General features: G+C 35.7%; 1 pseudogene; it reads right to left on the bottom strand.

Moving 5' to 3' along the window:
• BCAS2P3 (BCAS2 pseudogene 3) lies at positions 915-1898 on the bottom strand (annotated as a pseudogene).

Raw genomic sequence — 18387 nt, 5'->3', positions numbered from 1 at the left:
CTTTGGCCTCCCAAAGTGCTGGGATTACAGATGTGAGCCACCGCTCACATGGCCTAATTTACATGTCTTCTTGTCTCTGGTCTCACCCCTTTTCAGCTCATTTTCCGTACTGCTAACAAAGTAATCTTTCCAATACCCCAAATTGGACCATATCTTAGCACCAACAAACACCCTCCAGTATCTTTCCACTCATTTTAAAATCCAAGCAACTTAGCTTAGCACACAAATGTCTGCAGGATGAGACTTTATCCCACATCTCCAGTTTCACATGCTGGCCCAACCTTTCCCACTCTCCCAGTTCCAAACTTTCCGAACTACTGTTTTATATCTCTTAGTCTTCGGGCAAGCAGCCACATCTACGTACAGTGCCATGATTTTTCGAAATTTAACTTGTGAACTGCTTCCAAGAAGTCTTTCCTTGCACTTCCAGGTAAAGTTCTCATCTCTGTGCTTCCTCTGCATCGTACAAGCCTCTGTTGTCGCATCATTCTTTTGTTATAACTATTGGTTTGCATGTCTGTCTCTTCTTGTTTCAACTGTCTTGTCGAACTCTAGTAAATTCTCAAAATGTATGGTGACTCTGTTGGTTGCTCTATGTAGATAATCACAGTGTTTGTAAATAAATAGATATTTTTCTCTTCCCCTTAATCCTATTTCTTTTTCTTTTAATATGACATTCCCTCCACCTTCCTATCCTAAAATAGATGTATTTTTCTACTAATTGCTGCCAAGCTGCTGTTTTGTAACTTTAAATGAATTAATGAATTCCTTTTTATTCTTATTTGCTAAGAGCCTTACAAAATTAACATATGTAGAATTTTGTGTGTCTGTTTAGAAGTATCTCTTTATTAGACAAAGACATAAACTAAAAGTTTCCAAATTCCTGTACATGTTGAAAGGTTTAAATAAAGATTCTTGGATACAAAATATGGTCTACACAGCTCAAAATTAATTCAGTGACATAATATTATGCTAAAGTTATACTTATTTTGAAAGTCTAGAATTTTTGGTTGATGGTTATAAAAATACCACCAACTTAGATATTTTTGTTTTGCTAAGATAGAATAGAATTACTACAACAGTCCACACATTCTAAACATTTAAACATCAATGGTTTCTGGAAGATGCTGTTGTCCTTCATAGTTTGGAGAAAGTTCAGATGGCTTTGGTGAAAGCCAAACTTTTCTTCCACCCACAAAACTGTCTTTTCAGAAGTCTTGCTGGATGTTTTCTTTGTTTGCCTCTCCATATTGCTACTTAATTTGATGGTTTTCATTTTCTAGTTGAACAATTGTTCAATAGTCTGTTCAATATTGTAATTCTTACTGATCAGGGATATCCAATTTGATTCGATTTCTCTTGATTTAGTTCCAGCTGTGAGTTGCATGTCCTTTTGCTGCTAGTTTAAATCTTGAATATGTTTTCTTAACTTCTGAATCACTTCTTTCTGTGCATGTTCAATCATATGAACTAGATTTTCATTATATACCTTCCAGGCATTACATCCACACTGTGACATTAGGTCTAGATTCTCGATTCAAATTGCTTGATGCTCTAGCTGGGCCATAGAATTGTTTACACTTTCTTGCCATGCAATAATGTCGTTTTTCTGACCGGAGGAAGGGGCTGGAAGCTCAGATCATTTCATACGGAGCAATTCAATTGGCTGTCGAGGGGTCAGTCTTTCAAATCCATTTTTCACTATGTCTTCAAAAGCAGAATAATCCAAGGTGTCAGGTAGCTCAGGTAGTTCTTAATAGTTCAGTGTCTGTGAGTGTCCTCTTCCACAAGCACTGTACACCAGGGGTTTCATAACCTTGATAAAAATACAGCAGCACATCCACCACAACCTCTCTGGTCACAAAACCCATGACCACCATTTTGGAGACCTTAGGTTTCTATGCATTATTTTGATACACTATTGATACAGATAGCTAATATTTTATTTTTGATATTCATATCTACAATAACAAGTTAAATAGGCTTGTGATTTTCTTCAAGTGCTCTTGCTTGGTTTTGAGATCATATTTATAGCCTTATAAAATGAAATGGGCAGACTTTCATGGTCTCTCTAGTTTCTGGTGCAATTTAGATAAGTCTTACAGATTTCTTGAAAATTTGGTAAAACTTGTTTATTATAAACCTTCTGGATTTGAGGTTTTTTTATTTTTATTTTTTATTCTTTTTTTATGAAGGAAGTCTTTTATTACTACTTATATTTCTTTATGTTCATTGTTCTGGTCAAGTTTCTATTCTACTTTTTTAGATGTTTCTTTTTTTTAGATAGTTCATATTTTAACCTAGGTTTACAAATTTGCTAACAGTTGTTAATAATACCCCTTTAGCATTTTAATGTATTGTGTTTGTACTTATTTATGTTATTTCATTTTGAATTTATCTTTCTCACTCAAAATAAATTTATTTTATTAAATTTTCCAAAGAACCACATTTTGGTTTTTGTTAAACTCTTTCTCTCTCTCTCTCCTATATTGTAATATATATATATACTTTTTTCTTTTTCTCCCTTGTCTCCCAGGCTGGAGTGCAGTGGTGTGATCTTTGCTCACTGCAACCTCTGCCTCCCGGGTTCAAGCAACTCTCCTGCCTCAGCCTCCTGAGTAGCTGGGATTACAAGCACCTGCAGCCATGCCTGGCTACTTTTTTTGTATTTTTAGTAGAGATGGAGTCTCACCATGTTGGCCAGGCTGGTCTGGAACTCCTGACCTCAAGTGATCCACCTGCCTTGGCCTCCCAAAGTGCTGTGATTACAGGCGTGAGCCACCACGCCTGCCATGTATATGTATTTGATGATGTTTCTCCTTATCTCTTCAGGTTTGCAATATTGCTTTTGTGCCAACATCTTGTGAACACTGAGTTGGTTGTTTTCTGTCTTTACCTTGTCCAATACATGTATTTATATCTGCATATTACTTTAAATATTATGCTTACAAAATTTCAACAAGGAACATTTATACTGTCATCAGCTTGTAAGTATTTAGTAATTTCTCTTATTTTATTTTTAATTATAGCATTTTAATTTCTAAATATACAAGATGTTTTAGCTATATATCTGTTGTTTATTTCTAATTTTATTACATTATGATCAGAGAACATAGTTTATATAGTATTCAATTTCTAAGAATTTTTTGAAGTTTCCTTATGGCCAGTACATAGCCAATATTTATAAATATTTTCATGTGCTCAAAAGCAATATATCTTTTTTGTTTGTTAGATTAACAGTTCTATATGTCTTATATAGTTTGAGCTAATAATTGTGTTTTTTAGATTTGTATTATAGCTTTTTGATATGCTTGATCTATATGTCTCAGAAAGAGATATGTTGACTTTTCTCATTACAATTGTTGATTTATGTATTTTGCTCTGCAGTTCTTTTTAAAAATTAATTAATCATTATTTAACTTTTATTTTCTGTTTGGGGTACCTGTTTGTTACATAGGTAAACATGTGTCATGGGGGTTTGTTGTACAGGTTGTTTCATTACCCAGATATTAAGCCCGGAACCCAATAGTTACCTTTTCTGCTCCTCTCCCTCCTGTCTCAGGTAGACTCCAGTGTGCTCTGCAGTTCTATTATTGCTGTTTTACACATGTAGAGACTCTATTGTTCAATTCCTGTAAGCTCATGATGGTTACCTTCTTGCTCTATTGCTTCTTATCAGTAAATATTGTCTGTCTGTTCTTATTAATATTTTATGTTCTAACTACTACTTTGTGAGATATGATGATTGCTATATGAGCTTTATTTCAGTTAATATTTGTCTAGTACATCTTTTCACAACCTTTTATTTTCAACCTTTCTGTATCATTTTGTTAATCAATATGTCTTTATAGATAAAATATTGGTGAACCTTCTTTAAAAATCTAGGCCAAGAATTTCTTTTAATTAGTGAATTTAATCCACTTATATTAGTAAGTGGATTAAATAATTATTTTAATTGCTGTCACATAATGAGTAGTTTTTTTGATATTTTACTTTTTTTACTAATTATACTTTTTAAAAAAATTTTCTCTTCTTCATTTCTGTTAGATGAAACTTTATTTTGTTAGTTTAAAATTAATGTGTTTTCTTATGGTGCTTGCACATATCCTAACATCAATATTTATGTTAATTTATTCTATTATATTCTTAAACATAAATATCGCTATAAAAATACAAGTTCTTTAGCAAGATCTTCTCCCACTCTTTTTTTTTTTTTTTTCTTGAGACAGAATCTTGCTCTGTCACCATGCTGGAGTGCAGTGGCATGATCTCAGCTCACTGCAAACTCTGCCTCCTGGGTTCAAGCGATTCCCCTGACTCAGCCTCCCAAGTAGCTGGGATTACAGGCACGTGCCACAACACCTGGCTAATTTTTTGTATTTTTTTTAGTAGAGATGGGGTTTCACCATGTTGGCCAAGATGGTCTCCATCTCCTGACCTCATGATCCGCCCACCTTGGCCTCCCAAAGTGCTGAGATTACAAGAATAAGCCACCGTGCCGGGCATCCTTCTCCCACTCTTATCATCTTGGTATTATCTAGAATTTTAGTTATGAGTTATTACACATTTTTTTCTTTGGTTAATAGATTAATAAGCTTTATTTTTTTTAACTTCCCTTATCTCTTGCAATATCCTTCTGGTTGTATCTGCTTGTTTGAGTATATTTTGCAAGAGTGTTTCCAAAATGCATCTAAGTGAGGATTCCTCTGCTTGAAAATATGGTTCTAACATTTGAATGGCAGTTGGCTGCATATAGTATCTTAGGTACAAAGTTTTTTCTTCAATATTTTGAAAATATTATTCCATCCTTTTTTGTATCCAGTGTTGCTGTTGAGAAATCTGTCACTCAAATCATTTTTCTTTTATAGGTGGCCAGCTATTTCTTTGGAAGTGTTGCATTTGATCTTATTTTTATCAGATACATTAGACATAATGTGTCTAGGTATGGATCTTCCTCATCTGTACCTTTTAGCATTAAATCAGCACTTTTAATCTCAGGTCTTTCTGTCACTACTACTGGAAAATGTAATTGTTTTCTTTCATGCTTAGACTGTCGCTATTCCATTAGCACTTCTATCTCTATCCTTGATGTACCTTAGCTTTCTTTTTTCTTGCTCTCTACTTCTCATTCTATCTTTTTATTTTTTCTGATTCTGTATGAGTTTCTCAAGTAATTTATTCAACTCATCAATTTTCCTTGGCTATATCCATTCCATTATTTATTGCATCTATTAAGCCAATTATTTTTATTATATTTTGTATAGCTAATATTTTCACAAAGTTCCTTTCTATGAGTTTTTATTTCAGCTGTGTATTACCCCTTTTATCCCTTTAAAAAAGTGTACTCATTTTAAATTCTTGACATGTTTTAGTAATTTAATTTTATGTAGTATGTGTTTCTCAGTTTTTCCTGTTTTGTATATTGGCTGCATTCTTCAGGTTACAGTCAATTTGGTCTATAGAGATCATGTTCCCTTGGATATATCAGCTGCCTTGTCTGGCAATATGCATTAGAGAAGGAGCTCATACCCAGGCCTCTGTTTGTGAATCCACAGATGAGTTCAAAGAGAGGAGATGGAGGGCAGAAAAGGATGGAGAGCCCTAGATACCACAGAAATCCTGGTGCTGACCATCCTCTGCTGCTACTCCACCAAACAACTCAGTGGTCAGAAATATTTCCTTAAGCACTGAGCAAAGCAGCATGGAAAAAAAAAAGACAAGCTCCTTAGACTGTAACACATTACAGCTGAGGGTTCAAAAGAAAAGTGGTGAGGAAATGAATGCCACCAGAGGTACACTCCTAACATTTGTAGGACCCAGGGCAGGAGTAAAATGAAGGCCCACAAATTATTTGTCTAAATATTTAAAAGTTATAAATAAAGTAAAAAAAAAACTGTTCAGTAAAATATATTCTATACCTCTACATTGACAAACACACCATCATAACATCCTGGAAAGCTAGGTTCAAATTCAGAATCCTTGGTCTCATTTTAGTTTCATGCCACAGTGTGGCAGTGGAGCAAACTGACCCCCAGGCTCTTCTCACTCTAGCCTAAAGAAGTCTCATGTATGTCCATAGACACTGCAACTTTGCATGCCCATGTTCTGACCACATTCTCCACCAACTGTCACCCCATGGACTAGGGGTGTACACACTGATGATGATGATGACCTAGTCTATCCTTGGAAAGATGGGACTGAGGAAGAGGCCTGTACAGAACCTATCAATGAGATCAGGGCCATATTAATACCTGGAATATGGTCCAGAGGGGATGCATGGAGTCTGGTAAGGACAAAGGGCAGGGGCCCCTCTTGCCTGGGAATACATGCAATATTGCTGAGGGTGGCTGATTTCCCAGCATCTGGTCTCTTCACTCCTCATCTTTTTAGAGCTTTGGTGCTACCCTAATGCTACTAAATTACCTTGGGAGGGCTGGGCTCTCACCTGTGGATTTCTACCTATCTGTGGTAATTGGGTAAGCCATCATTTCCCCAATGCACATGGGGGAAGGAAGAGCAAATCTGAAGACTTTCCCCATTACATACACCCAGTCTTCTGTCATTGTCCCCCCTCCCCCCTCCCTCCATACTATAAGTAAGCCTGACAACAGTTCATGATAGCCTTCCTTCCCTCAGGGGTTTCTTGCAGTTTCCATCTTAATTTCCCAGATCCCTGCTTACTTCTTTCTCTATAATTTCTCCAAGGTATTTTTCAGGGAAAAATCCTGTAGCCAGTGCTGGCTCACCACCTTTACAGAAATCAAAGGCTCATTTCTTTCTCGTCTTTTAGACTGTGAGCTACTTGAAAGCAGGGATGGTGAATTATTCATTTCTGCATCTCAACAAATACTATAAAAACTGGATCTCAATAAAAGTTTGTGGAATTGTCAAAGCAGACTAGAGAGCTGTAATAGTCAGGCTGGGGTCTGGGTGGACCATGAGCCCACTGTAATCAGTAGGGCTTCCTTTCATTGAAGTTTGAAGGAGTCAATGAGACCAGAAACATTAGACCAGTGATATAAATGTTCTTGTAGCCATGCAGCCAGTGTGGGATTCTTTATATGACTAAGAACTGCTAACATAAGCATAAATTTAATGATGATCTGGATCCTTAAGATGTTGATTCTGAGAGCTGCCCCAAAAGGAAACAGATTAGCAGAATATGTTGCATATGTTGATTGTAAAATTAGAGAACACTCTAATTAAATAGTGCAAAAAGGAATAAAGTTCAAAAAATGAGTGCATGAAAAAATTAGTGAAATCCCCATAAGTTCTGTTGATTGTAATGTGTCAATGTCAATTTTCTGGTTTTGACAATGTACTATAGTTACATAAGATGTTACTATCCAGGAAAACTGAGTGATGGGAACAGGAGACCTCTTTGTACTATCTTGGCAACTTTTTATAAGTCTATATTTATTCCAAAATGAGGCGAAAGAAAAAAAAAAAGAGTCAAGCCTTCATAGCTAAAACATGAACAAAAGATTTTCAGAATAGTGTAATCAGGGGGCAATATGCTTTAAATTTATGGGAAATATGAGGAAAGTTTACTTAATATTGTGGGTGGTACATCTGCAAAACTCTGTAGGAGTTGCTAAGGGCTGAATATACAAATAGGTATAAGAAAAGTGTAGAAAAATTCACAAGTAATTAATTCATAATTTATATGTAAAGAAAATGCTCTGTTGGCTATAACTCTCATAATTTCCTTAATGACATTCAAAGATAAAATATGCCACTGGGTGAAAATACTGGGATCTGGTGCCCAGCATGGCAATATTATCCAAAATGGAGAAATGGTATCAGGTGCCAAATGAACTGAAAAGACAGGAACCAGGGTTTGAATCCAGACTCGGACAGCTACTAAATTACTTCCTCTTTCCAAGCTTGGTTTCCTCACTGAAAGATGGGGGTAGTAGTGGTATTTACATTGTATGTTTCATGTGAAAATTAAATGAGAAAATGTACATAAACCAGAGCTTTCCACACTACTGTAGTAAAGAACCAGTTAAAAATAATTCTTTCAGTTGTCATGGATTAGTATTTTTGTAAAATACAGTAAAAATAAATTAATAGAAAAATTAAATGTAAAAAGACAGCTATAAACCGAGGATTCTAATTATTAGATCCAACAGATACAATACTACACTTTCAAATTGCTATAAAAGTTCTTGCCAGCGTTTTAAACATTTTTTGTCTTTTTGATAATAGTCATTTTAATGGGGTGAGATAATACGTTGTTTGTGGAAAAGTAATATCTCATTTGCAGAACTCTTATACATTGTTGATGGGAATGTAAATTAGTAGAACCACTATGAAAAACAGTATGGAGATTTCTCAAAAAACTAAAAATAAAACTACCATGCAGTCCAGCAATCCCACTCCTGGGCATTTATTCAAAGGAAAAGAAATCAGTATATCAAAGAGATACCTGCACCCTCATGTTTATTGCAGCAGCATTCACAATAGCCAATATATGGAATCAACCTAAATGTCCATCAACAAATAAATGGATAAAGAAAATGTGGTAGCCGGGCGTGGTGGCTCATGCCTGAAATTCCAGGACTTTGGGAGGCTGAGGTGGGTGGATCACCTCAGGTCAGGAGTTTGAAAGCAGCCTGGTCAACATGGTGAAACTCCATCTCTACTAAAAATACAAAAATTAGCCAGGTATGGTGGCACACACCTGTAGTCCCAACTACTCGGGAGGCTGAGGCAGGAGAATTGCTTGAATCCGGCAGAGGTTGCAGTTAGCTAAGACTGCACCACTGCACTCCAGCCTGGGCAACAGAGCAAGACTGGGTCTTAAAAAAGAAAAAAAAAAAAAGAAAATGTGGTATATACACACAATGGAATACTATTCAACCATAAAAAGAATGAAAACCTGTCATGTACAGCAACATGCATAGAACTGGAGGTCATTGTGTTTAGTGAAAGAAGCCAGACACAGAAAGACAAATATTGCATATTCTCATTCATATATGGAAGCTAAAAGAGTTAATCTCATGAAGGTAGAGAGTAGAATGATGGTCATCAGAGGCTAGGAAGGGTATGGAGGTCGGGAGGATGAAGAGAGGTTGGTTAATGGGTACAAACACAGACAGAAGGAATAAGTTCTAGTGTTAAATAGCACAGTAGAGTAACTGTACCTAACAATAATTTATTGTACATTTTAAAAGAGCTAGAAGAGATTTGAAATATTCCCAACACAATGAAATAATAAATGTTTGAGATGATGGATATCCTAAATACCTCGATTTGATCATTACACATTGTCTGCATGTATCAAAATATGACATATACCCCATAAATATGTACAATTATTATGTATCTATAAAAATTTAAAAATTGGTATACAAGTTCTTAAATGCATAGTTTCAAATTCTATTGCCATGGACTGGTAACAAATAGACCACACATTAGTGTGAAGCACTTAGAAAGAGCCTTCAGCTTGGAGCTTGGCTATAATAATAAAGACTAACAACAATCTCCTTGTAGATCACTTCATTTTTGTTTTCCTGTTGAAGTTCTTTTTTAAAACACTGATTTATTTTTCATTGACAGATATATCTTATGTATCTTGTATACTTATGGTGTACAACATGGTGTTTTGAAATACGTATACATTGTGGAATGACTAAACCAAGCTAACTGGCATATGTATTGCCTCAGATATTTATCTGTGGTAAGAAAACTGAAAATCTACTCTTAGCAATTTTCAAGTATGCACTCCATTTTTTATAATTATAGTCACCATGTTGTACAACAGATCTCTTGAACTTTATCTCCTAAGTGAAATTTTGTGTCCTTTGATCAACATCTCCTCCAGGCCTCTAGCCCTGGTAACCACCATGCTAATTTCTGCTTCTGTGAGTTTGACTCTTAGATTCTACATATAACTGAGGTCATGTAATATTTATCTTTCTGTGCCTGACTTTTTCACTTAGTATAATGGTAGACCATCTTGTTTTATTCGCATCTTTTTCTAGTTTCCTCTAAAAAGCAAAGCAAAATAGGGCCTCCCCTTTTTTTGAGTATCTGCTTGTTTCCTAGCAGGACCGCTACCCTTAGTTACTGAACTTTCTTTTTTAAGGGGGAATTCTCACTCTTAGAGGCAATTTTGAGGATAATAGGTCAGGGCTTTTCAGTGCCTGCAGTGGGGGCTTGAGGAAGTACTCTTCGAAAGTATCCTTCGAATGTAAAATGTTAGCTTTAAGAGCTGAGCTGGAGAATTCTGTGGACTGGAGCTCTATAAAAGACCAGTCTTGTAGGGAATTGGCATCTGGAAAATCCTCACCATGCATGTCCATGTTGAGAGGTAGCCTATATTAACAAGGCAGTGTGGCATGTGGCTAGACATGCCAAAGGTTAAGTCTGTGTCTTTGTCTTTGGATTTTAACATGTTTCTTCTTTTTTTGAGTGCTGAGGTTTGTTTTTGTATTTATTGGGGAGAGAAAAAAAATCATGCTTGTGGGAACTCTGTTGATTAGCTAATGGGCTTTTTTGTTTTTTTCTTCTATTTTGTTTTGTTTTTTGAGACAGAGTTTTGCTCTTGTTGCCCAGGCTGGAGTGCAAAGGTGTAATCTCTGCTCACTGCCCCCTCCACCTCCCAGGTTCAAGCGATTCTCCTGCCTCAGCCACCCAAGTAGCTGGGATCACAGGCATGCGCCACCACACCCAGCTAATTTTGTATTTTTAGTAGAGATGGTGTTTCACCATGTTGCCCAGGCTCATACTCCCGACCTCAGCTGATCTGCCTGCCTTGGCCTCCCAAATTGATGGGACCACAGACGTGAGCCACCGCACCCGGCTAATTAACTAATGGTTTTAAAAATTTCACTGAACAATGTTTACTGTTGAAAAATAAGAAATTATTAGGAATCCAACAAAAATAAAAAATTTTAGAATTTATGTACATTTTCAAAATGCAATTATTAAGATGGAAGGATTGAAAACAATTGACTTGGCTGCAATATGATGGGTGTATTCACAATGCTTTGTTTAGCCTCTTGTTTACTTTATCTATTGATAAAATATTAATAAATATTGAGTACAATACCATCAAAAATCTTTAAAATGCAATTTCTCTAAGCATGTGAAAACCTATTTACACTTTAGCCAATAAAAGATCTAGAGAAAAGGTTGCTTAGTTTGGGTTTTTGAAACTCTGTTTATCTGAAAATTGACATCTGGAGAATAGCATTTACTCATCTGAAACTACCTTAGCACCTTGCCAAATTGCAATTTCTTAATTAACTACAAAAGATGCTGTAGTTTTTCTAAATTATGGAAAGTTACAGGTTTGTTTTCTGGGTACTATTTGTATTTTATAATAGTATAGTTGAAAAATTATTTGAAATTGCATTAACACCGTCATAAATCACACACCTCTTTCATTTCTATTTTCAATTCATACTGATTTGTGATTATGAGCTTGTTTATTATAACCATGGTTTATTATAACCATGAATCAAAACCATTTTCCATGTGAAGATACTTTAAACTGAGACATTTTAATATTTTGTCTGAAAACTAAATTTTTCTTGTTAACCTTTGAAATTAGGTTACTTTTAAATAATTTTAGCAGAAGAGTTTCTTTAGTATGATTCATCATTGAACTATACAGATAATCCAAAGTTACTGTATTACATACTTTGCAAATGCCTTGCATAGTAATTAAAGGCTTAGGGCCGAACATTTTTAAAGTGGGCTTATTCTATAAAGATGAAATTTGCTTAAAATGAAGTAAAAGTTTTTGACAAGATGACATATAAGAAGAGACAGAAAGATAAAACTAAAAGATGATATTCATGTAATACAAAAATCAGTTTATATTTTAAAATCACATTTGAGATGAAAAAGAAATACATAATAAAAGATTGACTTTTATTTTGGGGGGAGAAGTGAAACAGTCATTTGAAATCATAAACGTCTTTTTGACTCAGAAAACACATAATTTAGGAACGACTTAGTAGTGAAAAAGGAGCCCCTTATGTGTTTAGCTTGCCCCTAGGTGGTGATAAAAGCCTTGCAAAATAGAAAAGACAAGCCAAAGGCAACAACAACAACAACAAAACAACAACAACAAAACAAATATAGGCAGGATACAAAGTTCTTTTCTGAGATTCTGGTTTTGATTCTTAAGTATAACTTGACTCTAGTTATGTGTTTCTTTTTGTACTTTTGCTCATATCAACAAGTGTAATGCTTTTTAAGAGTCTTGTATCTGGTTGTTTTCCTCATTCCTTCTTCCTCCCCTCCCTTTCCTCACCCAATCAGGCACAAATACAGCTTGGGACACTTCTTTTCTCAACTATCATCTTTGACTCACCAGGCTGAAGTTTTGATAGAGACCTACAATAATCATAATGATGATGAAATAACGAGGGTTATTCAGTCAGGCTACGTTAAAGTTTGTTTACTGTGAACTTATATTGCATATTCAATTCTTTGCTTACAGGAATAAAAAGTAACCTGCTAAATAACTACCTATCTTGATTATCACATAACAAATTAATGCTAATGTTTCATATGCACTTATTTAATGTGAGGACATATCATTTGGCAAGAAATTATCTGAACTGAAGAAACTTATGTCCAGTATATATTCCCAAAAATTGAATACAATTTTCTTTTTAACAAACAAATGTTTCTAAGGGAAAAGCACAGTATGTTTTTTTATTTTTAACTTCGGATGCATTTCCATTTTGTATTTTTGATACAGCATTTTCATTGAGGTTTTCCTGTGTTGGTGATAAGCCTGATATGTACATTGTGAGACTAACAAAATTATAGGTGCTTAACTACTTCCCCATATGTTTAATATTCACTCTGGGTAAAGAGGCATACTGCAAGTCCTATTCAACCAGAAGGAAAAAACATCAACACTATTAACAAATATTCTATAAACATTCTAAAATTAAGAATACTTATTTGATACCTATTTTAAAAAGAAAACACAGACAGCAAAAGGTTGAATTGATATTTGGTGTTCTGATACTGTAGTAATTATTGTTTAATCTAGAATGAAGGTAATACTAAAAGAGTAAAGAAGTCATAGCTCATGATCTTCACATTATCTGCTTAAATCAAAAGCAGAAACAGATCTGTAATACACAGGCTGTATACTGTACAACTCCAAGGAGCAGCATTTCTACAGAATACAATGTAAATGGAACTCTGGATTTGGAAAAGATGGTTCCCTGAGCTGGAGGCCTTGAGAGAATGACCAGTAAGATGTTTGTTTTCCAGAAAAGGTTGTAGAACTGTTTTCTATTGAACATGAATGTAAACTTGTTCTTATTACATAGAGCAGTACAATTTCTTGAGATTAGGAGTTCTATACAACAAGGAGATGAAATTGATCATTACCTCCACTACCTCCACAAACATTAATTGAGCATGTAGTGTGTGCCTGACAAGATGTTAACTAATTTAAATTTTAAATTTAACCCACACAATAATCTTAAAGTAGAGGTCTAGGAAGATAACTAGCTTGCTGAAGGTAATACAGCTGGTAATGTTCTGCTCAAGCTCAGAAATTGGAACTAACCCAGTTTTCTCTGTTATGAAGCAGGTGCTTGTATATGCTATGCTGTGATACTATGATGGCACATTAAACAATTCCCCCTGGCCCATATTGAAGTTTGTACAATGGACTTCTTGGCCAATAAGTACTTGTACTGTTACTGTGTCTGAAATTTGAGTACTTTTATGTGAGAATGTTATGAGGAAGATCAAACCATAGAAATCTGACAAATACAAAAATACAAAATACAAACACAAAAAGTCTTGTTCCTAGATGCCAGAGTAAGATTTTTGCAACTTCCTAGTAGTATAATTTTGAGTACTATTACTCCCTTACTCCCTTCTTCCATTTATTCAGTCTTCTTCTTCTCCTTTTTTTTTTTTTTTTTTTTTTGGAGTCTCGCTCTGTCACCCAGGCTGGAGTGCAGTGGCACAGTCTTGGCTCACTGCAAGTTCCGCCTCCCGGGTTCATGCCATTCTCCTGCCTCAGCCTCCCGAGTAGCTGGGACTACAGGCGCCTGCCACCACGCCCAGCTAATTTTTTGTATTTTTGGTTTCACCATGTTGGCCAGATGGTCTCGATCTCCTGACCTCATGATCCGCCTGCCTCGGCCTCCCAAAGTGCCGGGATTACAGGCGTGATTATTCACTCTTCTTAAATGCAAGCTATAGAAAAAGACTCTGTCAGACTTAAGTAGAACAGGTATTTATTGAAAGGTTATTGGATCTTATGAAATTGGCATTAAAGGTGGAGAATCAGGCTCAGAGACTGCTCAGAAGAGAGATATTATACAATCAGAACCAAGCCAAAATCAGGTCCTAGAAACAATCAAGGGCAGAACCCACAGCTAATAATAATTTTTATCAAGTGACATTTAGATGGTAATGCCCAGGGAGGAACTAGGAGGAGGCATGTGCAGCACTAGCCTTGTGCACATAACTTAAGAGGACTTCAAAAAACTAGTAATCAAGACAAATAATATTTTGATAAATATGTTAAAAATCAAAATCAATGCAAAAACCCATTATGAGCAAAATATCAAAATTTTAAATAAAGATGGGGTTATGATAAAAGATAAAAAACAGTATGAGGCACAGAGCTGAGGTGTGTGTGTGTGTGTGTGTGTGTGTGTGTGTGTGTGTGTGTGTATTAGCAAGTTCATTTCAAGTTAGGATGAGTTTGATGCATGTACAGGACTCCAAAAACTGGAAATACTTAATGACAGCTTGAAATGCTATTCTGGTGGTCATTATTTAAAAGCTGAAAAATAATAGAGGCTGGCGTGGGTATGGTGAAAGGGAATGCTTACACACTGCTAGTGGGAATTAAATTAGCACAACCTCTATGGAAAACAGTATGGAGATTTCTCAAAGAACTAAAAGTAGATCTATCATTTGATCTAGCAATCCTACTATTGGGTGTCTACCCAAAGGAAAAGGAGTCATTATATCAAAAAGACACCTGCATGCATATGTTTATCACAGCACAATTTACAATTGGAAAGATATGGAACCAAACTAAATGCTGATCAGCCAATGAGTGGATAAAGAAAATGTGCTATATATACACCATGGAATACTACTCAGCCATTAAAAAGAATGAAATAATGTCTTTTGTAGCAACTTGGATGGAGCTGGAGGCCCTTATTCTAAGCAAAATAACTCAGGAATGGACAAACCAAAGACTGTGTGTTCTAACTTGTAAGTGGGAACCAAGTTATGCATATGTAATGACATACAGAATAGTATAAAGCGGTGGTCCCCTACCTTTTTGGCACCAGGGACTGGTTTTGTGGAAGACAATTTTTCCACAGACTGAGGTGGGAGGGATGGTTTCAGGATGGTTCAAGAGCATTACATTTATTATGCACTTTATTTCTATTATTATTACATTGTAATATATAATGAAATAATTATACAACTCACCATAATGTAGAATCAGTGAGATCATTGAGCAGGTTTTCCTGCAACTAGACGGTCCCCACATAGGGGTGATGGGAGACAGTGACAGGTCATCAGGATTAGGTTCTCATAAGGGGAGTGCAACCTAGATCCCTCACATGCACAGTTCACAATAGGGTTTGTGCTCTTATGAGAATCTAATGCCCCCACTGATCTGACAGGAGGTGGAGCTCAGGTGGTAATGCTTACTTGCCTGCCACTCACCTTATGCCATGCAGTCCGGTTCCTGGCAGGCCACAGACTGGTACCTCCATAACCTAGGGATTGGAGACCCCCAGTATAAAGAATATTGGAGAAAAAGGAGGAGGGTGGTGGGGGAATGAGGGATAAAAAACTACATATTGGGTACAATGTACACTCCTCAGGTGACAGGTGCACTACAATCCCAGACTTCACCACTGTACAATTCATCCATGTAGCCAAAAACCACTTATATCCTAAAAGCTATTGAAATAATCATAGAAAACGAAATGCCATTCTGGAACTCAAGGTAGGCTAGAGCTAAATATATAAATTTAAGGGTCTTTGTTAAGTAGGAGTTGGGTGACAAAATAGGAAAGGAATAGACCTTCTACAAAATAGCCAGAGAAAAGAATGGAGGACTGAGACCTAAAGGAAGGCCACGTTTAATGGGAGGTAAAGGAAGAGGCACCCATGGGAGAGTCGGAAAAGTTAGGGAGGCAGTGGGATAACCACCAAGGTCCTCTGAGAGCCCGCAAGAGGAGACACTCGCAAGATTAAGAGGGGTGGAAGTAATGAAGAGCATCAGGCAAGTTGTAGAGAAGCTAAGCAGTCATAAAGCTGTCCTTTATAAGCCCTGGACACATCCCATGCACTGCACAACTTACTTAACATACATATGTATGTTAAGCCCATCAGGCAGGTATTATCCTTGTTTCCTATATGAAGAAATTGAGATATGGAGATTTTGAGAGATAAATAACTTGCTCAAAGTCACACAGTAGTAAGTGACAAAGGGATGTGGAATTCAGGTCTGTCTGAATACAAAACTCATATGGTCTGGTATGTCTTGCCAGACCCATAGTTTTCATCTCTGCTTGAAAGCAGCTTTTCTGGCTTGTCAGAAAATGCAGGTTCTGAGGCCCCAGCCCTGAAAACTCTGATTCTACGAGTCTTAATAAATGTCTTTGAGACTGTGGTGAAGTCACAGTTTCTCTTCAGTTCAACTACTTTATCTGTAAAATAAGAAGTTTAGACCAGATGATAACTAAATTCAATGATTTGTGACTAATGTCCTCAAGAAAAGCAGATAGACGGTCATCTAATGAAGTGTACATGCATTTTTTATTGAAAAAGGGGCTTTATATTTTCAGTAACAGAAATTTCATATTCTTTTGTGGTATAGAAACTCTTTATGTCGATAGTCAGAAAGGTAGTATTGCAATGAAATGACTGTGCATATTATTCTCAAGCCCTGGGAATCTGCAAAACAAAACTTCTAGCAAAGCAAATCATCTTAAGTACTTGAGTGTAAGATAATGCACAATACATCCCATCTCCTTTATTATTTAATCATTTGAGTTATCATTTGCTGCAAATCACCATTTTGCTCATAAAGGAGAGTATCTGCTTTATTAAAGAAGTAAATAGGAGCAAAAAAAATCATCAATGGCCTTGAAATGATTTTTAAAAACTCTCCATTAAATGAAGTTATTTAATGTAGCATGTGGTTTTAATTATCTTAGCATAGTTCAAAAAGTAGCCCATATGTAAGTCACTCTAATAATGTGCTACTAGTTTTATTTGGCACTGAACACAATGACCTGCACTGAGTGGATGCTCGATATTATTGAATGCTTGCTCGATGACATTTATAAAGCAGAAAAAATTCAAAATAATCTGGCTATTATTTATAAGCTATTTACAGGATGCTGAGGAAACTTGATTTCTGAAAATTATGAAACTACAATTAGGGACAAAATACACACTTATATACAGAATCATAATGATATTTTACAACTTCTGGAATAAATACAATAGACTTTAAATGATTTGTATTTTATCAATGAATACTATAGATTCCTATAACGCAACAAATTTAAAAAGACAGCTATGTATTGTGGTATAAAATTAGAGATAACTTATACCAATATTGCTCATGCATACCAACAAAAATCTTAACAATAGAATTACATATACAAGCTACACATATTGCCTTTTCTGATGAAATTTATCATTAGCTTTGGGATTGTTTTATTAAACCATAACACTTGTGGTCTCTACGTGTCTTTTATGGAAGGTACTCAAAACACTTTGCAAACATTGAATATCATTTTGGATGTCAGTGACAAATGACACATTAGTAATTAATTCCTATGGCAATACCCACCAGGCCACTTTCAATCATGAGACCTTATAAGATTTCTTGTAGGCTCCTTATTTTACAGTGGAATAAAAATCACTTGCCTTGTTCCACAATTTCCTCCGAAGACTAATGTCTGCAAGAAAAATTATCAAAGAGTAGCTACTGAAAAATCCTCATCTGAAATGCATTTTCATTCATTTTTGTTATCCAGAGTTGAGTCTAAGTATTAATTATTGGCACAAATCTTAAAATAACAGCACACTAATTATAAGAACTACCATTTTGTGAGAGCTTATTACTGTTAGGCACTTTATGTGTATCTCATTTAATTCATACATAACAAAACCACTTCAAGCAGGTTTTGTTAATCCCCTTTTACAGAGAGTCAGAGGCTCTGCCCCAACTTTTGGAGTTATTAAGTGGTAGAGCCAGAGTTTGAACCCAGATCTTTCTGACTCAAAGTCTGGACTGTTAATCACTAAGACCAATGCATCTATAACTTCATGGAAATTAGTAGGACTGACTCCTATGATTCTGGAGCAATGAGAAACCCAGCTAGTTCTGCTGGCTGC

This window comes from Homo sapiens, chromosome 13 (assembly GCF_000001405.40).
Source record: "Homo sapiens chromosome 13, GRCh38.p14 Primary Assembly".
Classification (NCBI taxonomy): Eukaryota; Metazoa; Chordata; class Mammalia; order Primates; family Hominidae; genus Homo; species Homo sapiens.
Note: the sequence above shows the minus strand (reverse complement) of the source record. Positions and strands in the feature narration are given on the sequence as shown.